The sequence below is a fragment of the Homo sapiens genome, chromosome 4, assembly GCF_000001405.40.
Source record: "Homo sapiens chromosome 4, GRCh38.p14 Primary Assembly".
NCBI lineage: Eukaryota > Metazoa > Chordata > Mammalia > Primates > Hominidae > Homo > Homo sapiens.
In genome coordinates this window covers 20,847,914-20,871,928 of record NC_000004.12, presented here as the reverse complement: position 1 = coordinate 20,871,928, position 24,015 = coordinate 20,847,914, and the positions used below count along the sequence as shown (strand labels likewise).

The window sequence follows — 24,015 nt, the reverse complement described above, 5'->3', positions numbered from 1 at the left end:
GAGTTCTCTGAACTCACTTCCAACTCTTTTCACTTAATAATGTTGTGGGAGATTTTATGATTTTTTGCCACATGACTGCCACATCTTGGTGACATCAAGATGAGTTTAGGCATCATTATTTGGATGCCATGTTTACATGCAAGCTGCCCCTGGACTAAGAGGAAAAAAGAACTCAAAGAGAGACACTGTTTATCCCTGGGCAAATGTTTGAAGACATGAAGAATATGTAAAGACCATGTGGAAACTGTGTCTGTGTTGAATGAATGTTAAATACAGCCATGCTGCTCAGTTATTTTCTTGTTGGTGAATACCACCATGAACAGGAAGCTCTGTGACATGCCACCAGGAGAGGAAACCCACAGGAAAAGTAATTCTTAGAAAATGGTCATTTCTAGGCTGATCCTGCTTTGGGCTTTCCTACTCTGGAGTCCCTGCCACTCCCTGGCCCTTTTAATTTTTTTTTTTAAATGTATTCCTTCATTCCATAAAAGAAAGAATTACTGTTATATTTTCTGCCAATGTATACCGCCTTAGTGATCACATTGAGTTTGATGGTCTTAATATTACTTATATAGTGATGACTCTGATATTCACATCTTCAGCCAGACTGTGCTTATCAACTTCAGAACCATGTCTCCATCCAGCCACTTGACATTGCCACTCCGATGTCCAATTGGTGACTCTTCCATTAGAATTTCAGGCCCATGGGAGAGAGAATTTGGTTGTTTTTGTTCATTCTAATGTCCATTGTACCTTGACCAATGCCTGGGTCATAATAGGCACTCAATCAATATTTAATGAATAAATGAATAAATTGTCTCTAATGCCCAGGCCATACTAGGCATTAGTGGTAATAAGATAACCAAGATAGATCTCTTGCCTCTAAATGTTTATATCACAGAGGAAATGACAGATATTCAAAGAGATCATTGATATACAAAGCCATCAGAGGTGACAAGTGCACAGGGTGTGTGAATGTCTCAGGAGGCCTCTCCTCTGTGAAGCCCCTTCCCCACTGAAATGAGCCTTAGAGAATAGAGACAGAGAAGGTTGAGGAGGAAGAACGGCAAGTTCATTTAGTGGGGATAGGATAAGCAAAAACACAGAAGTTGGCAATTCAGACTTCATTCAGGGAATAGCAAACCATTCAGGATATTAAATCATAAGTTGTGTGGGAGGAAATGAGAGACTATAAAGCTCAGTTATTGTCTCAAATTCTATTCCAAAAGATGATTTTTATTCCCCTATCAATTCCAAACAGGAAGAGTATAAAAGGTCCTCAGGGAGCTGTGGTTTCTAGTGGATCCCACAATTAGCAATTCAACAGCAAGAAGTGCCTGCAAAATGAAGCAGCTGGGTACAATTTAGGGGACAAAGATTTTTTCAAATGACAGAATTACTCTCGCCATGTGTATTAGTTTGTTCTCACATTGCTAGAAAGAACTACCTAAGACTGGGTGATTTATGAAGAAAAGAGGTTTGATTAACTCACAGTTGCACAGGCTGTAAAGGAAGCATGGTTGGGGAGGCCTCAGGAAACTTACAATCATGATGGACGGGTGAAGGGGCAGCAAGCAGCTTCTTCACATGGTGGAGTGGGAGAGACAGAGTGAAGGGGGCAGTGCTACACACTTTTAACAACTAGATCTCCTGAGAATTCACTCACTATCACAAGAACAACAAGGAAGAAATCCACCCCCATGATCCAGTCACCTCCCACCAGGTGCCTCCCCCAACACTGGGAATTACAATTCAACATGAGATTTGGGTGGGCACACGCAGCCAAACCTTATCACTCTGTGTCTTTGGACAGTTTATTCAACTTCTCTGTACCTCAATGTACCCATCGAAAATGGGCAAAATCATACTTATCTCAAAGAACATTTTAATAAGTGATATAATAATAAGTATTTTAAACACTATGTGCCAGCCACTATTTTACATGTTTTATACACATTATTTTATTTCAACCTCCTGACAACATTTTATAGTAGGTTCCATTGCTCTTCCCCTTTTATTGATGAAGAAACTGAAGCATAGACTAAGCACTTTGCCCAAGGTCACACAGAGCTAACAAGAGTCAGAAAAATGATTCAAACTCAGAAAGTGCTGTGTTAGACCCCTCACTCCTAAATATTCTAGAATAACACCTCAATTAGTATGTATGCAATAATTATAATAGTCATCATTACTGTAATTTATTATTACTGCCTGCCAGTAATTCAATCTCTTAAAACAACTTTAAGAAATTGATACAAATATTATCCCCAGTTTATAAATTTTAAAATTAAGGCTTGGAAACATTAAACACATTGTCCAGCCAGAGGTGGGAAATAGACCCAAGAAGGAAAGCTCAGAGGAACTGAATAATTTGTCAGAATTAGCACTCCCAGGCACTGTTCTGCTCCTAGTGTTGAAGGTAACACTAGATATTACTGCAAATATTTCTAATACTACTACTCATTATATGAACAACAATATCATTAATTGAATGTTTACTATGTGCCAGACACATATACCATCTCATTTAATGCCCACAGTTACCTTATTCTATAATATTAACTACTTTTTTGTCTATTTCTATGCCATTGAACATGTGGGGGAATTAAGGCCAAGGAGGAAACTAGGTTAAAAGTAGAAGGAACATAACAAAACCCAGATCACTGCTCAGTTTTCCTAATAGCTTTTTTAAACATAGATGGATAAATGTTTTAGTGCAGAATACTTTTGTCATCACTGATATTAGCTGCAAATCATCCCCCTAATATACCAGCAAAAATTTATTATAACTATGCTTATCCAAACTCTGCTTAACTCACTAGGTAATCAATTCCATCTGTGTACTGCCTACTTTCTAAGGCAACACAGTAACATCTTATGAATTAGGCATGATATTTTGCATAAATACATTACCTGTATGTCTATCTCTTTACAGTAATGTTCTTCTTTTTCAAATTCTATGTTAGATACAGTAGGTACATGTTCAGATTTGTTACATGGGAGTATTGCATTATGCTGAGGTTTGGAATTAGGATCCTGTCACCTTGGCAGTGAGCATAGTACCCAATAGGTAGTTTTTCAATGTCCCGCCTTCCCAGTAGTCTGTAGTGTCTACTGTTCCCATATTTATTTCCATGCGTGTTCAATGTTTAACTCTCACAAGTAAGAACATGCAGTATTTGTTTTTCTATTCCTATGTTAATTTGCTTGGGATTATGGCTTCCAGCCCTATTCATGTTGCTGAAAGGACAAGATTTCCTTCTTTTTTAATGGCTGCATAGTATTTCATGGTGTCTGTGTACCTCATTTTCTTAATCCAATCTACCACTGATGGGCACCTGGGTTGATTCCACTTCTTTGCTATTGTGAAGAGCACAGTGATGAACATATGAGTGCATGTGTCTTTTTGGTAGAATTATTTGTTTTCTTTTGGGTGTGTACCCAGTAATGTGATTGCTGGGTCAAATGGTAGCCCTGTTTTAAGTTCTTTGAGAAATCTCCAGACTGCTTTCCACAGTGGCTGGACTAATTTACATTCCCACCATGTGTAAGAATTCCCTTTACTCTGCAGCCTCACCAGCATCTGTTTTTGGACTTTCTAATAATAGCCATTCTGACTGGTATGAGATGGTATCTCATTGTAATTTAGATTTACATTTCTCTGATGATTACTAATACTGAGTGTTTTTTCATGTTTGTTGGCCACCTCTGTGTCTTCTTTTGAGAAATGTTGATTCATGTCCTTTGCCCGTTTTTAAAGGGGGTTATTTGGTTTTAGCTTGTTGATTTAAGTTCCCTACTGTATAGATTCTTGGTATTAGGCCTTTGTTGGATACATCATTTGTGAATATCTTCTCCCATTCTGTAGGTTACCTGTTGGCTTTGTTGATAGCTTCTTTTTTTTATTATTATTATACTTTAAGTTTTAGGGTACATGTGCACAATGTGCAGGTTTGTTACATATGTATACATGTGTCATGTTGGTGTGCTGCACCCATTAACATTAGGTATATCTCCTAATGCTATCCCTCCCCACTCCCTCCACCCCACAACAGGCCCCAGTGTGTGATGTTCTTGTTCCTATGTCCATGTGTTCTCATTGTTCAATTCCCACCTATGAGTGAGAACATGCAGTGTTTGGTTTTTTGTCCTTGCGATAGTTTGCTGAGAATGATGGCCTCCAGCTTCATCCACGAAGATCAAGTGTAGGATAATTTCTTTTACTGTGCAGGAGCTCTTGAGTTTAATTAGGTCCCACTTGTCTATTTTTGTTTTGTTACAATTGTTTTTGGGAACTTAGCCAAAAATTATTTGCCACAGTTGATGTTGAGAAAAGTATACCCTAGGTTGTCTTCCAGGATTTTTATAGTTTGAGATTTACATTGAAATCTTTAATCCATTTCGAGTTAACTTTAGTATATGTTGAAAGGTGGGGGTCCAGCTTCAATCTTCTGTGTATAGTTAGCCAGTTATCCCAGCTCCATTTATTGAATAGGGAGTCCTTTCCTCATTGCTTGTTTTTGTCAGCCTTGTCAAAGATCAGACGGTGGTAGGCGTGTGACTTTATTTCTGGGTTTTCTATTCTGTTTCATTGGTCTAGGTGTCTGTGTGTATAGCAGTACCAAGCTCTTTTAGTTACTGTGGCTTTATAGTAGAGTTTAAAATCAGGTAGTGTGATGTCTTGGGCTTAGTTTCTGTTTTATTTTTTCTTTTGCTTATAGGATTGCTTTGGCTATTCTGGCTCTTATTTGGTTCCATATGAATTTTAGAATACTTTTTTTCTAATTCTGTGAAGAATGTTCTTAGTAGTTTGACTAGAATAGTATTTAATCTATAAATTGCATTGGGCAGTATGGCCATTTTTATAACACTGATTCTTTCAGTCTACAAGAATGAAATGCTTTTCCATTTATTTGTGTCACTTTGATTTCTTTCAACAGTATTTTGTCGTTCTCCTTGTGGAGATCTTTCACCTCCTGGGTGAGCTATATCCCTAAGTATTTTATTTTCTTTGTGAATATTGTAATTGAGACTGTGTTCTCGATTTCACTTTCAGCCTGGACGTTGTTGGTGTGTAGAAATGCTACTGAGTTTTGTGCATTGATTTTGTATCCTGAAACTTTACTAAAGTTGTTTATCAATTCTAGTCACCCTTTGAAAGGATCTTTAGGATTTTCTAGGTATAGAGTCATATCATCAGTGAAGAGAGATAGTTTGACTTCTTCCTTTCCTATTTAAATGCCTTTTATTTCTTTCTCTCACCTGAATGTTCTGGCTAGGACTTCCAATACCATGTTGAATAGGAGTGGTGAGAGTGAGCATCTTTGTCATGTTCCAATTCTCAAGAAGAATGGTTGGAGCTTTTGCCCATTTAGTATGATGTTGGCTGTGGGTTTGTCATAGATGTCTCTTATTATTTTGAGCTATGTTATTTAGATGCCTAGTCTGGTAAGGGTTTTTATCATAAAAGGATATAGGGTGTTACTGAAAGCTTTTTCTGTGTCTATAGAGATGATCATAATGTTCCAGCTTTTGATTCTGTTTACGTAGTGAATCACATTTATTGATTTGCATATGTTGAACCAACCTTTCATCCCAGGAACGAAGCCTACTTAATTGTGGCGTATTAACTTTTTGATGTGCTGCTGGATTCAATATGCTAGTCTTTTCTTGAGGATTTTTTTGTCTGTATTCATGAGGGATATTTGTCTGAAATTTTCATTTTTGGTTGAGTCCTTGCCAGAGTTTGGTATCAGGGTGATGCTGGCTTCATAGAATGAGTTAGGGAGGGGCTCCTCCTCCTTGATATTTTGGAATAGTTTTAGTAGGAATGGTATCAGTTCTTCTTAGTATGTCTGGTAGAATTCAGCTATGAGTCCATCTGGTCCAGAGCTTTTTTTAGTTGGCAGGTTCTTTATTACTGACTCAATTTCAGAAGGTGTATAAACGTTTTAAAATGTTATTTATATGTTTATGGTGTACAACATGACGTTTTGATGTACATATAGATGGTGAAACACTTACTGTAGTCAAGCAAATTAACATGTTCATTATCTCAGATAGTTACCCATTTTTATATGTAGCAAGAGCATCTAAAATCTATTCTTTTAGCAAAGATCACAAATACAATATTAACTATAATTTTCATGTTGTAATTTAGATCTCTAGACTTGTTCATCCTATATGTTACTTTCTATACCTTGACCTACATCTCCCTAGTTCCTCCCCACTTTAACCATTGTTTTATTCTCTATCTCTGTGTATTCAACATTTTTTTAGGTTCTTTATGTAAATGACATCATGCAATATTTTTCTTTCTCTGCGTTTTGCTTATTTCACTTAACATAAGGTCCTCCAGGTTCATTCATGTTGTGACAAATAGTAGGATCTTCTTTTTTAATGTTGAATAGTATTCCATTGTATATATCAGTTTCTTTATCCATTTGTTTATTGATGGACATAAGTTGTTTCCATATTTTGGCTACTATGAATAAGCTGCCAATTTTAATTAATAATATTTAAAAATGTATCACATTTCTGTTACCTTCTAAAATAAAGTAAGCAGAATAAAACATTTTCTTAAAGAATAAGGTTAGAACTTATTCTTAAAGAATAAGTTAGCCACTGACTTTTGTCATTACTCTTTTCTCTAATATGCCTATGATGTTTTTCAACTTTATGTTCCCTCCATTACTCTCAGACAACCTGCAGTCACTTCTAGTCTTCAGAGTCAGTAAGCTTGGGTTTAAGTCCTGACTCCATAACGTCCTATTTCTATGTCCTTCATCAGTTACATCCTTTCTTCCAACCCTGATTTCTTTATCTATAAAAGCAGGGTGACAATATTTATACACAGAATATCACATTGCTCAGATATGATAATGAAGAGCCAGTGGTGAAAATTAGGTATTATAACTGTGGCTCATGGACTCCTTCCAGTGTATGCTCCTTCTCCATTATCAGTATCTGCTTCTGATGTGGAATCGGAAGCTTACTAAAACTGTGGGTACAGTAAGGATGAAGACACTCTTATCCATAAAAGATACTGAGGCAGGCATCTGACAAAGTGCTGCAGTAGGAATGAAAAAGATCAAGATTTAGGCCCAGTTCTGCCACTGATATGCCTAATGGTTTTTGATTTACAACCACTGTAGCTAAGGCTCTGTATGTGACATGAACTTACAAAGTTAAGGGGCTGGACTCAATACCCCTTTCAATTCTCACAGAGTTCCATTTTCTGCTTAGAGCCCTTTTGCTACTAATTTTCTGATTCTTATTTGGGTGCATGAATTCTAGATAAGTGGGGCATCATCCTCTCTCCTGCTCTGGGGGAGGCAGAACAGCTGAATAGTTATTACATGAATCCTGGAACCAGACTTCCCAGACTCCATTCCCTGACTCTGTTATGGTGTGACCATGAGCAAGTTACTTAGTCTCTCTGTGTTGGTATCTTCATCTACAGAACAAGAATATAGCATTTATAGTACGCTGATGGGGATTTTATGAGTGTATGTATATATATGTTATATATATATAACATGTATATATAAAATGTATAACATACATATATACATGTTATACATACATGTTTACATACATATGCATATAAACGTATGTATATATGCATACATATGTGTACATATATGCATACATATGTGTACATACATATGTGTGCATATATACATACATATGTGTACATATATATGCATATATACATGCATGTGTGTACATACATATGTACGCATACATACATGTGTATACATACATGTGTATGCATACATGGATATGTATACATACATGTGTATACATGGATATGTATACATACATACGTATACATGCATATACATACATACATACGTATACATACATGTGTATACATACATGCGTATACATACATATGTATGTATACATACACACATTTACATGTACGTATATCTAGTTATACATATGTATATATGTATATGTATGTGTGTGTGTATATATATACATATACACTCATGAAAGAGAGAGCTTACACAAAACAAATGCTATAAATATTAGTGATTGTTCTTTGCTCTTTTTCTTCCTTCGTTTTAACTTCTAAGTTCAGGGGTGCATGTGCAGGTTTGTTATTAGGTAAACTCGTGTCACAGAGGTTTGTTGTACAGATTATTTTGTCTGGTCGAAAATACCCAGGTATTAATGAAACCTCCTTTGCAAAAGTTTCACTGAGGAAATCATGACAGTGAAAGAGATCTCCATCTTGCTTCTAGCCTTTAAGCTGTCCTTGTTCATTCCTGGGCGTAGGCTGAACTAACCTTGGGAAAGAATTTAGTGTATGGTTTGACTCTGAAACAAATTGATAATAGCCCTTTCTAGAAAAGACTCCCTTCTTGCCTGGGGACCAGTCTGCCTTTACAGGACTAACAAATTAGCCACAAGATTGGAAATTATAGTTTAGGGGTCAGGCAGCCTCTGGCTGCAAGAGTCTGAACTTCCCCAAATTGCTCCTGGGGATCACATCACTATTGTAAACCTAAGATCAGGGCTTGAGATATTTTGCAGACCCTGCACTTGATGAATCAGTTGATACCACCTAGACCGATAATCTGAGTCAACCATTTCTGAGATCCCACTCAGGAACAGAAGACAACAAGAAAACCGCACTATGAGCCCCCTATGGTTCCATCTCCAAACTGACGAATCAGCACTCCCCACCTCCTGAGCCCCTACTCACCAAATTATCCTTAAAAACTCCTACCTCTAAATGCTCAGGGAGACTGATTTGAGTAACAATAAAACTCGGGTCTCCCACAAAGCTGGCTTTGCATGAATTATTTTTTCTCCATTGCAATTCCCCTGTCTTGATAAATTGGCTCTGTCTAGGCAGTGGGTAAGGTGAACCCACTGCACAGTCACATTAAGCCTAGTACTGATTAGTTATTTTTCCTAATCCTCTTCCTCCTCCCACCCTCCACATTCCACTAGGCCCCAGTGTCTGTTGTTCCCTTCTATGTATCCATGTGTTCTTATATTTTAGCTCCCAATTATAAGCAAGAACGTGCGGTATTTGGTTGTCTGTTCCTGGATTAATTTGCCAAGGATAATGGCCTCCAGCTCCATCCATGTTTCTGCAAATGATATAATCTTGTTCTTTTTTATGGCTGCATAGTATTCCGTGGTGTATATGTACCATGTTTTCTTTATCCAGTCTACCACTGATGGGCATTTAGGTTGATTCCATGCCTTTGCTATTGTGAATAGTGTTGTAATGAACATACACATATGTGTGTCTTGTTATTGATTTTTAGGACAACTAAGAGAAAATCTATCAAAGTTTGAGGCACTCCTTTGATAGGGCATTTTTAATTTAGTGAACTAATCTGGGCTTTCTTCATCTCTCTCCACATACCATTGCTTTTTAAAATTTTTCTCTTTGCTCATAATCCCTCTCAGCTTTTGCCTTTCCTGACTAGTATATCAATCTCTTTTGGTCTGTCTTTATGTGTAAGTTCAATTAAATTTCTTGTTTCCTTCCTCTGCCCCCTCAGCATTCCTATTGTAGATTTTCTGTCTGAGCATAATGACTGGCAGTATAATTTTTGTTTTTCTTATTTACCAAAAATCAATTAAGACCCTACCACCTAAAAAATAATAACTCATCCAGGTGCAGTGGCTGATGTCTGTTATCCCAGCACTTTGGGAGGCAGAGGCAGGTGGATCATGAGGTCAGGAGTTTGAGACCAGCCTGGCCAACATAGCGAAACCCCGTCTCTACTAAACATACAAAAATTAGCCAGGTGTGGTGGCACATGCCTGTAGTCCCAGCTACTTGGGAGGCTGAGGCAGAAGAATTGCTTGAACCCAGGAGGTGGAGGTTGCAATGAGCTGAGACCACACTATTGCACTCCAGCCTGGGTGACAGAGTAAGACTCCATCTCAATAATAATAATAATAATAATAATAATAATAATAATAACTCCTACCATAAGGGGCCATTCATGATGCTGTAGTAATAATATGGTTAATGCTGATAATAAGCATTCCAATTAGGTGATTATTTTTTAAAATCTAAGCTTGTTGAAGAGTTATTTATGTTTGTAAATAAGGTAGAGACAATCTATTTCATAAGTGCTGTGGCAAATAGCTTCAGCTGTTCACCACTGGGTTGTTATATTTCATAAGTGATTGAATTCAATTATGAAATTGCAAAGCAATTCTCATTCTCCTAGAATGGAAATTGCAATGTCATTGCCAACAAGTACCTGTAACAGAAGATGTTCAAACTAAATGGCCATTTTCCAAGAACTGTTCATTTTCAATATGATATACAAATATTAAGTAAGATAAAGTACTAATTATAAATGGTTTTGTTCATTTTTTGGTGTTTGTTTTTGTATTTTGGTTCTAACATACATTCAGGGCCAGGGTTGCAGAAATACGTGTCAAACTAACTAAAACATCAGGATTCCAATTGCTCGGGTTGGTCTGGGAAGGCCTAGGACTCCCACAGTGTTTCAAATGGATTGACTGCTCTCTACTTGCAGCCTGTGTGTGATCAGCTTGGAATTAATTGCTTCTATACTCTCCATGTGCACCTGAAAATAACTCTTGGTAGGTGGATGGGTGAATAGTAATAAAGACAGGAAAAGTCAAAGGAGTTCCCAGACCTCTGCATTCTTGCAATAAAGCATTTAAAATTGTCAAAGTTTAAAGAGTTGCTTACAGGGCCTGGCCCCAGTTTAAACTCTCTATCCAGGGAGGTCAAATGATATAACAGGAAGGGGAAAGACAGGTTTGGGGCAGGTCCTGGCTCCCCGTGCCCACACTCATCAGCTGCACAGCTGTGCAGACTTCAGCAAATTCCTCCACCCAAGAAACTATTTCCTCAGCTGATTATCATGCCACCCTCTTTGAGCTTTGTGAGCAGTGGAACCGAGGAATGGAATGGTGAGTATGTTGTCATCCCTCTACAAGTTTTTGCAGTAGAAAAGAAGGGTGGAAATAAATTATATCAGTGCCATGAAAATTCGCTTTGGAAATCTTCCTCCAGGCAGCTTTTTCTTTGTCCTGATGTATCAGACTTGAACATTAAACAAACAATAGCATCACCTCCTTATCCTAGAAGTTCTCAGGAATAGCATCTAATGCTATGGTCAAGAATCTTTCAGCATTGGAAATCTTCCTCCAATATCCACCACTGGACCAAGCTTCTAAATATTTAATAATACATAAGATATCATTAGAAAGTGATCATCCTCATTATGTTATTGCCATATGGATCAACTCACTATTCGGCCAATTTAATAAAATGTAAACATTAGGAGTAATGGCTCAGAGGGTATTTTTATCAATGAGATAAAGCAATATAAGTCAAGCAGGCTGAATTTTTGTCTAGACAAATTAATTTCAGCTCAAATAGAATTTTAAAGTTACAATATTTATAATCTTTTTAGAATGACAAATGGATACATTTATTTTTAAAGAAGAGTCATGTTGTATTTAGAAATGGGACTGGGTGCGGTGACTCACGCTTATAATCCCAGCACTTCGGGAGGCCGAGGTCCATGGATCACCTGAGGTTAAGAGTTTGAGACCAGCCTAATCAACACAGTGAAACCCCCTCTCTACTAAATACAAAAATTAGCCAGGTGTGGTGGGGCGTTCCTGTAATTCCAGCTACTTGGAAGGCTGAGCCAGGAGAATCGCTTTAACCTGGGAGGCGGAGCTTGCAGTGAGTCAAGATTGCACCACTGCACTCCAACCTGGGCAACAAGAGCGAGACTCCATCTCAAAAAAAGAAAAAAAGAGAAGAAAAAAAAAAGAAATGGGACCTGCTGTAGATACACTCACTATTCTTGGAATGCTTCAAGTAGTTATTTATTTCACATTCTCTTATGGAGCACCTTCAGTGTGCCAAATAAGATAATCCTTCCCGTATTTTGGCAGGACCTAAATAAAAGAACAAGGCAACAGCCTCACAGTGTTTCATGCTTTATAGGCAAGGACTCATCTCTGCACACATGGCCTGAGTTCTGAATCAGCTTTCTCAAAAAGTGACATTATTCTTCATAATATTATTTGTTTTCTGCATTAGAAGACTTGTTTCCAAAGCATGTCGTCAAAAGGTAGGACTCACGCTCATATTTGTTCGTAAGGCAAGATGTTCCGTAGTAGTGTTCTGGATGGCATGATTTGCCCTTAGAGTCAAATTTGCATAATTACGAGTTGAGCTGTACCAAGCTTCTACTGTATTTTAAGAGAAGTTGTGAGAAAGAGGAGAACGATGACTATTTTTAAAACGCATTCTGTTGTTCCTAGATGATTTGAATTCCAATTTCTAGCCCAATTGTGTCATGGCCTGAGGGGACTGTTGAGTCAGACTTAGGACAAACTCAGCCCTGAGAGACTGAAATCTAAAGAACAAAGGACAAAAAGACACAGCCAGGAAGCTCAATGGTGTCTGGGTTTGGGAATTTGTTGTCTGATTAAAATTAAATTTGTTAGAAGATACATGAATTAAAATACTATTTGTATTTCGCTTATCTCAGGATGCAAATGCGCATTTGAATTGGCTCTTCTGCAAGATACCTGAGTGATGATATGTCTGCATGGCCTGGAGATAACTCCAGAGGCCAGAGTCCCATCTGGTTCTGGTTTTTGTCTCAAACAAACATTCATCTTTCCCAAATCTAAATTTCTCAGGGGTAAAATGCAGAAAAACAAACAGTTTCCTGTGTTCCTTCCAGCTCTGAGATCCCATCACTTCGTACCTTATTCTACCATGTGTTTCTTATCAGCACAGCTTTGTCTGCTGGTCTGGTGATCTCCTGAAGGTGCCCCGGCATATTTTCCCTGGAAAGAAATTGAGGCATTGGAGGCTCAGCAGCCAGCTAGTTTGTGATTTAAAATCTTTTATCCCCTAGGATTTTGAACAAAGTAATTTAATTGTTGCCATCTCTTAAAGTAGCATATTGACTAAGCTCATGGTCTTTGGTGTTAAAAAGCCAGGGATTAAATCCCAGCCCTGTCACTTGTAAGCTGTATGACCTTGAGTAAGTTATTTAAGAAATGTGAGTCCCAATTTACTCCTTGTAAAATGAGGGCTACATGACTTCTTGTAAAATGTAGCTATCTCACTGAACTTCTGTCTGTATTAAAATGGGATAATATACAACCACGCTTAGAGCAAAAGTTCTCCATAGGGTGATGGTTGCTATTAACATTCCCAGCATAGTGCTCAGTAACCTGGACTTTGGGCTGCTGGAGACACTTGTCTTCATCTTGTTTACTAAGTAGCCATTTGGCCAAGAGTTGCTTGGGTTATGGCCAAGTTACTTAGACTCTCCAAGCCTCAATTTTCTCATTTATAAAATAGGGATGATAATCCTTCTCTTGAAAGATGTTGTGAAGATTAAATGACATAATTGGCTAGCAAACTGCCCAGCACTCATTGTGCAAACTTTGTGGATAACAAGACCTGCTTTTATCAGTGTTGTGTGTCATTTGAATATAGGTAGATATATTAGTTTGCTAGGGCTGCCATAACACAATGCCACAGACTGGGTGGCTTAAGCAACAGGAATTTATTCTCTCACAATTCTAAAGGCTGGAAGTTCAAGGTCAAGGTACCAGCTGTGAGCCATCTTCCCACTCCATCTTCACATGGCCTTTCTTCTGTAAGCCCACATTCCTCGTGTCTTCCTCTTTTTTTTTTTTTTTTTTTTTTTTTTTTTTTGAGATGGAGTTTCACTCTCATTGCCCAAGCTGGAGTGCAGTAGCGAGATCTCGGCTCACTGCAACCTCTGCCTCCTGGGTTCAAGCAATTCTTCTGCCTCAGCCTCCCGAGTAGCTGGGATTACAGGCACCCACCACAACACCCGCCTAATTTTTTGTATTTTTAGTAGAGATGGGGGGTTTTGCCATGTTGGCCAGGCTGGTCTCGAATTCTGACCTCAGGTGATCCACCCACGTCGGCCTCTCAAAGTGCTGGGATTACAGGTGTGAGCCACCACGCCCGGCCTATGCTTAACTATCTTCTTAAAGGCCCTACCTCCAAATACAGGGTTAGACCTTCAACATATGAATTTGAGGAGGGACACAATTCAGTCCACCATAGGACCAGAAGTCAGACTGCAGTAGATTAAGGAGAGAGCAAGAAAATGGATCTAATGAATACAGTTAACTTTTCTGAGGAGTTTGACAAAATAAGAGAGGAGAGGTTATCATTATTTGTATCATTATTTCTGCTGGTATTAAAAGAGACTGTGGCAAAGTGGGAAGTGGGAAGAACATAAGCTGTGGCATCAAAGACCTGGGTGTAAATCTTGTCCCTATGCATATATATGGAAACCCATATATATGCATAGGAGATATATATGTTATGTTTTTATGTATATATAAACACATATTTGACTTCTGGTTGTGAATTTCTTCACATCCATGAGACTCAGTCTCCATGTATGTGAAAAATAAACAATTAAACCTCACTCTGGGGTTATTGTGAGGATTAGGATTATGCCAATCAAGCACCTTGCCCATCTCCTGGCATACAACAAGGGCTCAATAAATGTTAGGCACTGGGTTAAAACCACCCAAAATACAGGCTCTTACAAGGTGGCTGAGTCACAATGAGAATTCGCAGTCCTACGTGGGATCATGCCGTGCTCCCCATAGTTTGCCTCCAAGAATCAGAGTTGATTGGGTTCGGTGGTGTTGCTTTTTTAACTTATCATATGCTGGTGATTGCTGATGATTTCAGTTATGTTTTTAGAGCCTGTCACCCGCCTAGAAATAGAAACAGCCCTTTGGCAGGTAGGAGTCATTAAGAAGTAAGGTACCAGACAGCTGGAAAAGCAAGAGAGCCCACAGGCAGACACTTCAAGGGCGTTTTTTTTTTTTTTTTAATACTGCATGTGATGATCATCCTATCACGCACACTTAATTATACTGATCCTCCAGCCCTGTGTCTTTTGTCTCAGACTTTGCATCTGCAGAGAAAGAAACTCCATTTGTAGCACAGCTCAGATTGCTGCCCGATACAAAGGCCCAGAATTTAATCCGCTGTTTTGGTTCTGTCCCATGTGAGGGTCACTAGGTCTAGACAAGGTTATGTTATGACTGAAAGACTGCTCAGAAAATTTAATTAAAATCCCCTCTACTTTTGCTGTATTTCCCAGTACAATAAATAGAGAACATAGTGATTCTGAAGAAGACATTTGAGGTCCACCAACAGCCCACAAATTTCAGTCTGAAAAATATTTCCCTATAGGGCAGCAAATATTCAAGGGATTGGAGAGGATCAGAAAGTTGAGCAGGAATATCCTTTGTTTACCAGATTATTCTTAAGTGACAAAGGAGTATCAGACTTCCTGTTAGGTTCAGAGGATAAACAAGACATGTAAGATATTGATCTTGTCTGCAAAAAAAACTCACAATGGAGAAAACAAACATGAGCAGATCATGATGTTATGTTTTACATGCTATACAAGAACCAGAGTGTGGGAACGATGACCAGGGGGTCACCAATTTTGCATAGTATGGGAATCCAGAGAGGCTTCAGAAATGAGACACTTATATTTAAATTGGATCATGAAAGATATATACATTTTAACAGGTGGAAAAGGAAAGTGGAACATTTTAGGTTGAAGAACTTGCACTATAAATGATTCAAAAGAAGATTACATCAGACATTGTTCAAGAAAGCACAGGCTTTCTATTCGATATTATCTATTTACATGAGGTCTATTGCATGCTATTTACTCCTGCATTGGCAAATACAATAATACAACATAGTTGAAGTCATTGGATCAACAGCAGTCTAAAAGCAACATTTTCCATCATCTTTTCTATCTCAGGACCCATTGAATAGAATCAACCCATTTGTTCAAATGAATGAAGGAGAAAATTGAAGGATTTTGGCTTTTTTGATTTTCCCCATAAAGCCCAGATCAATTTGTTAATGCCTAGGTGCCTTTTTCCAGCTACTTTGAGCTCTTCCCACATACTTTAGGAGCACAACTACTTACTTTCCCATCAATTTTATCCTTGTCAGCTCAATTTTATCCCATCAATTTTATCCTTGTCAGCCTTCTCATCTTTCCATGTCCTTTTCTATTATTTTTATTCATCCGTCACTATTCTGAAGCTTTTCCATTTCATTCTTTCCAGATAAGTTATTATAATATAAAAAGTACAAAGCAAATGTTTGTTTTCATCTCCTATTACTCATTTTCACAAATATAGCCACTCCAAGTGTTTGTTTCATCACCAATTTTTTTTTTGTAAACTCCTTGAGGGCAATAATTAAGATATGCTAAGATTAGGGTGCCACTCACCTTCTCTTCCTTGCCAAGTGAGAGCTTTGGCCCCTCAATGCTCTCAGTGAGGCAGAGTAGTAAGGAGGAACAGATGTTAGCAAGAGGCAGCAATATTAGTGTCAAAAATGGCTCGACTTTGGCAAAAAGGACTACATTTCCAACTGACCCATGGGACAAGGGATTGGGGTCCTAGTGGCTCTGGGATGAGAGGAGCTGACTGTTATCCTTAGACCCTTCTCTCTGAGTCTCCAATCTGTAGTCAAGAAGAAAGGATAGAAAGGGGAAGCCAAGGCTTCATACTGAGCCTGGATGTTTTTATTCCTGCTAAGTTCCTCATCTGAGGTGTGGATTGGTTTACACAACAGAGAGAATTCCTATAGGCCACTATCTGACCCCACTTCAAAGGAGCTGGACTGAAGGATGATATTTGAGACACAAGCACCTGAACCCTAATATATTTCCAAATCCTCCAGACTTGTGCTTACATGACCCTAGGGCAAATGTGCAGATATTACCAGATGTTACTTGGGCCAGGAAAGGTTCTATGGACAAATACCTTTGGGGTCAGTTGGGTTACGCAAAGTTAAACAAGACTCCTTGTTACAGGTCTTCGCAAACCTATATAATTTAATATTTTGTGACAAAACTACATTAAAGTTCACAGCATTTTCCAAACATCTATGGGCACAAAATTCCTTTTTGCATAAAACATCTTTGAGAAATTATAGCGTAAACATAATTCACAAAGCAAAGTACAATATTTTAAAGCTTCTCTATACCTATTGACTCTATTGACTACAAAATGGACCTAAATAGAATATCCTCTAGGCCCCCAACCATCCAGTATGTACCCATGAAACCAACTGGCTGCTGGTTACTTTACCCTTGTCAGCACCTAATATGAACATTTTATTTTGTAGCCCAAGGCAAAATATCTGATTTCTTTTTTCACTTTACTTGTAAAATGAACAGATGTCCTTCAATTCTTTTTTTCCTCATAAATTATTGGGGTACAGGTGGTATTTGGTTACATGAGTAAGTTCTTCAGTGGTGATTTGTGAGATTTTGATGTACCCATCACCCACGTATACACTGCACAATATTTGTAGTCTTTTATCCCTCTCCTGTCTCCCACTCTTCCCCGCAAGTCCCCAGAGTCCATTGTATCATTCTTATGCCTTTGCGTTCTCATAGCTTAGCTCACACAAATCAGTGAGAACACACGAGGTTTGGTTTTCCATTCTTGAGTTACATCACTTAGAATAATAGTCTCCAATCTCATTCAGGTCACTCCAAATGCCATTAATTCTTTCCTTTTTGTGGCTGAGTAGTATTCCATTATATAAATATATCACAGTCTCTTTATCCACTCATTGATTGATGGGCATTTGGGTTGGTTCCACGATTTTGCAATTGTGAATTGTGCCGCTGTAAACGTGCATGTGCAAGTATCTTTTTTGAATAATGACTTCTTTTCCTTTGGGCGGATGCTCAGTAGCAGGATTGCTAGATCAAATGGTAGTTCTACTTTTAGTTCTTTAAGGAATCTCCACATTGTTTTCCATAATGGCTGTACTAGTTGACATTCCCACAAGGAATGTAGAAGTGTTCCCTGTTCACCGCATCCACACCAACATCTGTTTTTTGATTTTTTGATTATGGCCATTGTTGGAGGAGTAAGGCAGTATTGCATTGTGGTTTTGATTTGCATTTCCCTGATCATTAGTGATGTTGAGCATTTTTTCATGTGTGTTAGCCATTTGTATATCTTCTTTTGAGAATTGTCCATTCATGTCTTTAGCTTACTTTTTGATGGGATTGTTGGTTTTTTTCTTACTCATTTGAGTTCGTTGTACTTTCTGGATATTAATCCTTTGTCAGATGTATAGATTATGAAGATTTTCTCCCACTCTGTGGGTTGTCTGTTTACTCTGCTGACTGTTCCTTTTGCCATGCAAAAGCTCTTTAGTTTAATGAGGTCCCAGCTATTTATCTTTGTTTTTATTGCTTTTGCTTTTGCTTTTGGGTTCTTGGTCATGAGATCCTTGCCTAAGCCAGTGTCTAAAAGGGTTTTTCCAATGTTATCTTCTAGAATTTTTACAGTATCTGGTCTTAGATTTAAGTCCTTAATCCATCTTGAGTTGATTTTTGTATAAGGTGAGAGAAGAGGACCCAGTTTCATTCTCCTACATGAGGCTAGCCAATTATCCCAGCACCATTTGTTGAAAAGGGTGTCCTTTCCCCCACTCTGTGTTTTTGTTTGCTTTGTCAAAGATCAGTTGGCTGTAAGTATTTGGGTTTATTTCCAAATTATCTATTCTGTTCCACTGGTCTATGTGCCAATTTTCATACCAGTACCACGCTGTTTTGGTGACTATGGCTTTATAGTATAATTTGAAATCAGGTAGTATGATGCCTCCAGATTTGTTCTTTTTGCTTAGTCTTGCTTTTTCTATGAGGCCATGCGGGCTCTTTTTTGGTTCCACATGAATTTTAGAATTGTTTTCTCTAATTCTGTGAAGAATAATCATGGTATTCTGTGGGGATTATGTTGAATTTGTAGATTGCTTTTGGCAGTATGGTCATTTTCACAATATTGATTCTACCCATCCATGATTCTACCCAGCATGGGATGTGTTTCCATTTGTTTGTGTCACTTATGGTTTCTTTCAACAGTGTTTTGTAGTTTTCCTTGTAGAGGTCTTTTGACTCCTTTGTTAGGTATATTCCTAAGTATTTTATATTTTTGCAGCTATTGTAAAGGGGTTGAGTTCTTGATTTGATTCTCTGTTTGGTCACTGTTAGTGTATAGAAGAGCTACTGATTTTTGTACATTAATTTTCTGTCCAGAAACTTCACTGAATTCTTTTATCAGTTCTAGGAGCTTTCTGGAGAAGTCCTTAGGGTTTTCAAGGTAAACAATCATGTCATCAACAAACAATGACAGTTTGACTTCCTCTTTACCAATTTGGATGCCCTTGTTTTCTTTCTCTTGTCTGATTGCTCTGGCTAGGATTTCTAATACTATGTTGAAGAGGAGTGGTGAGAGTGGGCATCCTTATCTTGTTTCCATTCTCAGAGGGAATGCTTTCAACTTTTCCCCACTCAATATTATGTTGGCTGTGGGTGTGTCATAGATGGCTTTTATTACATTAAGGTATGTGCCTTGTATGCCAATTTTGCTGAGAGTTTTAATCATAAAGGAATGTTGGATTTTGTTGAATGGTTTTCAGCATCTACTGAGATGATCGTGTGATTTTTGTTTTTAATTCTGTTTATGTGGTATATCACATTTATTGACTTGCGTATGTTAAACCATCCCTGCATTCCTGGTTTGAAACCCACTTGATCATGGTGGATTATCTTTTTGATATGTTGTTGGATTCAGCTAGTGAGTATTTTGTTAAGGATTTTAACATCTATGTTCATCAAGGATATCAGTCTGTAGTGTTCTCTTTTGGTTATGTCATTTGCTGGTTTTGTTATTAGGGTGATGCTTCATAGAATGAATTAGGGAGGTTTCCTTCTTTCTCTATCTCCTTATATCTTTCTTCAGATGTCCTTCCATTCTGAGAGTCTAAGGTTCTATTTTTTTTGTTTGTTTGATTGTTTGTTTGAGACAGGGTCTCATGCTGTCACCCAAACTGGACTGCAGTGGTGCCATCACTGCTCACTGCAGCCTCAGCCTCCTGGGCTCAAGCAGTCCTCCCACCTCCGCCTCCCAAGTAGCTGTGCAAAATATCTGATTTCATTGGAATCCTTAGTGAACATTATCAGAGGCTATCTTGTAGTTGCATTTTACATAGGGCACAAAACTGATTATTATTAAATGACAATTCCATTGTTTATAACTAGTGGTTGTTATATAGAAACAAATTCCAGGTTGGACTATTTGTGATCTTCTATGTTTTTCTAACTATACCTTAAAAATGCTAGAGATGCTGGTGAGGTTGTAGAGAAAAAGGGAAACTTTTACACTGTTGGTGGGAGTGTGAATTAGTTCAACCATTGTGGAAGGTAGTGTGGTGATTCCTCAAAGACCTAGAGGCAGAAATACCATTTGACCCAGCAATCTCATTACCGGGTATATACCCAAAGGAATATAATTCATTCTATTATAAAGATACATGCCTGCATATGTTCATTGCAGCACTATTCACAATAGGAAAGTCACAGAATCAACCTAACCGCCCACCAATGATAGACTGGATAAAGAAAATGTGGTACATATACACCATGGAATACTATGCAGCCATAAAAAGGACAGAGATCATTTTATTTGCAGGCACATAGATGGAGTTGGAAGCCATTCTCTACAGCAAACTAATGCAGGAACAGAAAACCAAACACTGCATGTTCTCACTTGTAAGTGGGAGCTGATTGATGAGAACACATGGACACTGCCAGGGAACAACACATGCTGGGCACCTGTTGGGGGAGGGAGAGGATCAGGAAGAACAGCTAATGGATGCTGGGCTTCATACCTGGGCGATGGGATGATCTGTGCAGCAAACCACCATGGCACATGTTTACCCATGTAACAAACCTGCACATCCTGCACATGTACCTCTGAACTTAAACGTTGGGGAAAAAAGAAATATATGTTACTGTTAGATTTATAGAGTAATATATATTGCTACTTAAACTTTTTGTTTGACGTAATCATATAATCCACTGATTATCTGAAATAAATTCCTGTGCTCTTTTTTGTTGTCTTAAAACAATGCTAGGGTTGTAATATCTACATTAATGACAAGAATATGCAAAAAAATCATATACAAGTGTTTTAGCTTAATACGCTTAAACTGGGAAATGTAAAGGCCTTATAGGCATTGTGAGGGTCCTTCCTCTGTGGACAGTCACAGACATTAGCAGACATGTTCTTCCGTTTTCCTTTGTTGCTCTGTGTAAGCATCGGTGAGCAGTGGCTGGTCCTAAGACTCTTTCTTGTTTTCCTCCACAGACAGCGTGGAAGATGAACTGGAGATGGCCACCGTCAGGCATCGGCCTGAAGCCCTTGAGCTTCTGGAAGCCCAGAGCAAATTTACCAAGAAAGAGCTTCAGATCCTTTACAGAGGATTTAAGAATGTAAGAACTTTCTTTTTGACTTTACCTTCACACAATTCCCAGAGGAGCATTGAGAAATGAGAGGAAAAGGGGGAAAATATCCCATTCTATGAGAGCCCCATCATATGTATATTTCATACTGATCCTTCCCAGATAGGAATATAATCAGTATCTGTGGACTTTGATTCTCTGTGGCACACCCATGCTGGCATACTGTGATTGCCCATTAAACAAAGAGTTTCTGAGAAAGTTTTATTCAATTCAGTTCTTGGTTGAAATATTTTCTCTTCATCAACTATAATGACATAATTTCATTAAACTTCCATTGTTTCCTTAGTTTTTAAATACAGGCTGGTGCTTGACTTGAATCTTGAATGTAGATTGAGGCCTATCAAGGGATTCCATTCCTGGAATTGGAGGATAATTACTGTAACTTTTATAGTTTAAAAAACCATGCTGCCAATGTCTGTAAACCACAGGTGTCTGTAGGTCATCACTGTACCTGGTTCTCTGCAATCCAGGTGTGCAGATGACCCTCCCTCCTGGGTGAACCATCTTCAAAAGGGAATGAGAGCCCAGAAAACCCCAGAGGGTGGGGTGAGAGAAAGTGAGTGGATCCAGGCTGACTATGAGACACAGTCTCTTACCAAATACTTTGTATGTGCTAAGGGTTAAACTAGATGCTGCAGGTTATTCAAAAGCCAGAGAAGATACACTTCTATCCTTAAGGAGCTTATGGTCTGAATAGGGAGAGAAAACTTGCTGTCATGAATCTATCTGAAAACAGTTCATCCTTAAAGGCATCAAATGTTTATGTATCAAATAGCATACACATCCCAACATATAGTTTGTTCTTATACATATGGAAACCAAAGTAGCTACAGGCACCCCTGGAGATCCAAATTAAATTGCTTTGATCCTTTTGAAACCCAGCCCCTAAGAACCCCAGTTCCAGTGCGTGTAGAAGTCTGTGATGTCCAAGGATTTCTTCTAATGCCATCCTCTTCACATCTGACCACCACAACTGCTGCCTTTGTCCAACCTTATGCAGACTAGATATGAATCTCTACCTCTTCTTTGGAATCCACAACAGCAATTTACTCAGAGAATTCATACCGGTAGTTGACACTGCAGAATATTTTTATAGGGTTTCTGCATGCGCATTGCACACAAGTTTCCACCATCTGTCTGAATGAATGGAGTCTGTCTTTCTCCCATTTCTGCTCCTCAGCCCCTTCTCCTTGCCCTGGGCTTTCTAAGTTTTTCTCCCTCTATTATGCAGAGTAAATTTGTTTCTTCTCCAAAATTTGATCATCTGCAAAGACCTAGGACTTCGTGGCAATAGGTGGGGGCAGAGGAGATTATAATGGAGATGAGTGCTCACCACACACACAGACCACTGATTAAAGGAATCTGATAGGTAATATATCAAGACAATACATACAAATAAACATGCATAAAGGGAAAAGGGTTTTGACAACCAGGAAAGAGGATGAGTAGTTATGCCTATTCTGCAGTGGTTCCAGGCTTCAGAGACAGCAGGTATTTGCAATGAAACAGTGGTATTGACCACTGGCAGCAGAAAAACACTGAGCAGCAAGGACAGAAAGGAAAGGAGGTGTAAAAGACCAATCTGGGCCAAAAGTCAGTGCTCAGAGGAGGTGAATCACAGAATAAAACTTCAAATGTGTTCATGTGAACACCTAAACTTCTTTGCTATAATTCAGAGATCTAGTAATAAGCAGACTTTTTTTTTCTTTTTAACATTGGATTGTACATCAGATACAGAATGTTTGTTGAACACAGGAGAACTGAATCCAATCTCTCAGCATCCCTGTATTCCTCGACTGCTGCTATGTTATTATTCCAATGCCATCCCCGTAGGGTTTCTCTGTTTGGGGTCTGGCTGCCTTTCATTGCATTTGCTATAAATTGGAATCATGATTACTGCCATCATTAATCTTTGGAGCCAGCATCTCTGCAGCATGTCTAATACAAGTGGCACTTCACAATAAATTGCTAGGCTCCAAAGTCTGCATTCATTGCTTTATTTTTTTTTATTTTATGTTTTTTTTTGTTGCCCATATGTCCTTCTCTTCTTCCTTTTCTCTCCTTCCCCCATTTTCCCAAACTCTTTTCTTTCCCCTTTTTTAATCCTTCTGACCCCACCTCTTATTTCTTCACTCCTCCTTGCTTTCCTTTTTTTCACCTCTTCTGTCTCTTCCCCTTGTGAATTATTGTCTCCTTTCAGCTCTTCCCCATCCTCCTCTTCCTCTATTTTTTTCTCTTCTCTATCTTTATTGATTTCTCTTTCTCCCATCTCACCCTGCCCCATGAGACAAATTTCCATCAGACCTGAATATGCCAAAGGCCTATTTTATATACTTCTTTAAAAGAAAGGACTTCACAGTTTGCTCAGAAAATATTAATCGACATCTCTCATAAATCAAACACAAGTGGCCTTTTAATTTTTATTTCCCCCTAGTCAAATGTACAATTCTAATAAATGAACCCTAAGCATAGCCGAAATACACTAAGCAGGTCAGCAGCACTTGGGTTTTACAGCATGGTAGTAAGCTGAAGCAGCTTCCATCCAAGAAAGCAAACCAACTGCCTTGGTTCCCTAAACACCAATTACCTCAAAGCCCTT

At 38.4% G+C, this 24,015-nt stretch overlaps 1 protein-coding gene across 8 annotated transcripts in view; it reads left to right on the top strand.

Annotated features, from left to right (window-relative positions):
• Nucleotides 1–24,015, top strand: part of KCNIP4 (potassium voltage-gated channel interacting protein 4) — a 1,220,167-nt gene that overhangs the window by 1,076,844 nt on the left and 119,308 nt on the right. For all 8 annotated transcript variants that reach the window (NM_147181.4, NM_025221.6, NM_147182.4 and 5 more), the window contains one exon: nt 21,262–21,386. In NM_147181.4, the coding sequence (NP_671710.1) occupies nt 21,262–21,386 (125 nt within the window). The remainder of the gene's footprint in view (nt 1–21,261; nt 21,387–24,015) is intronic.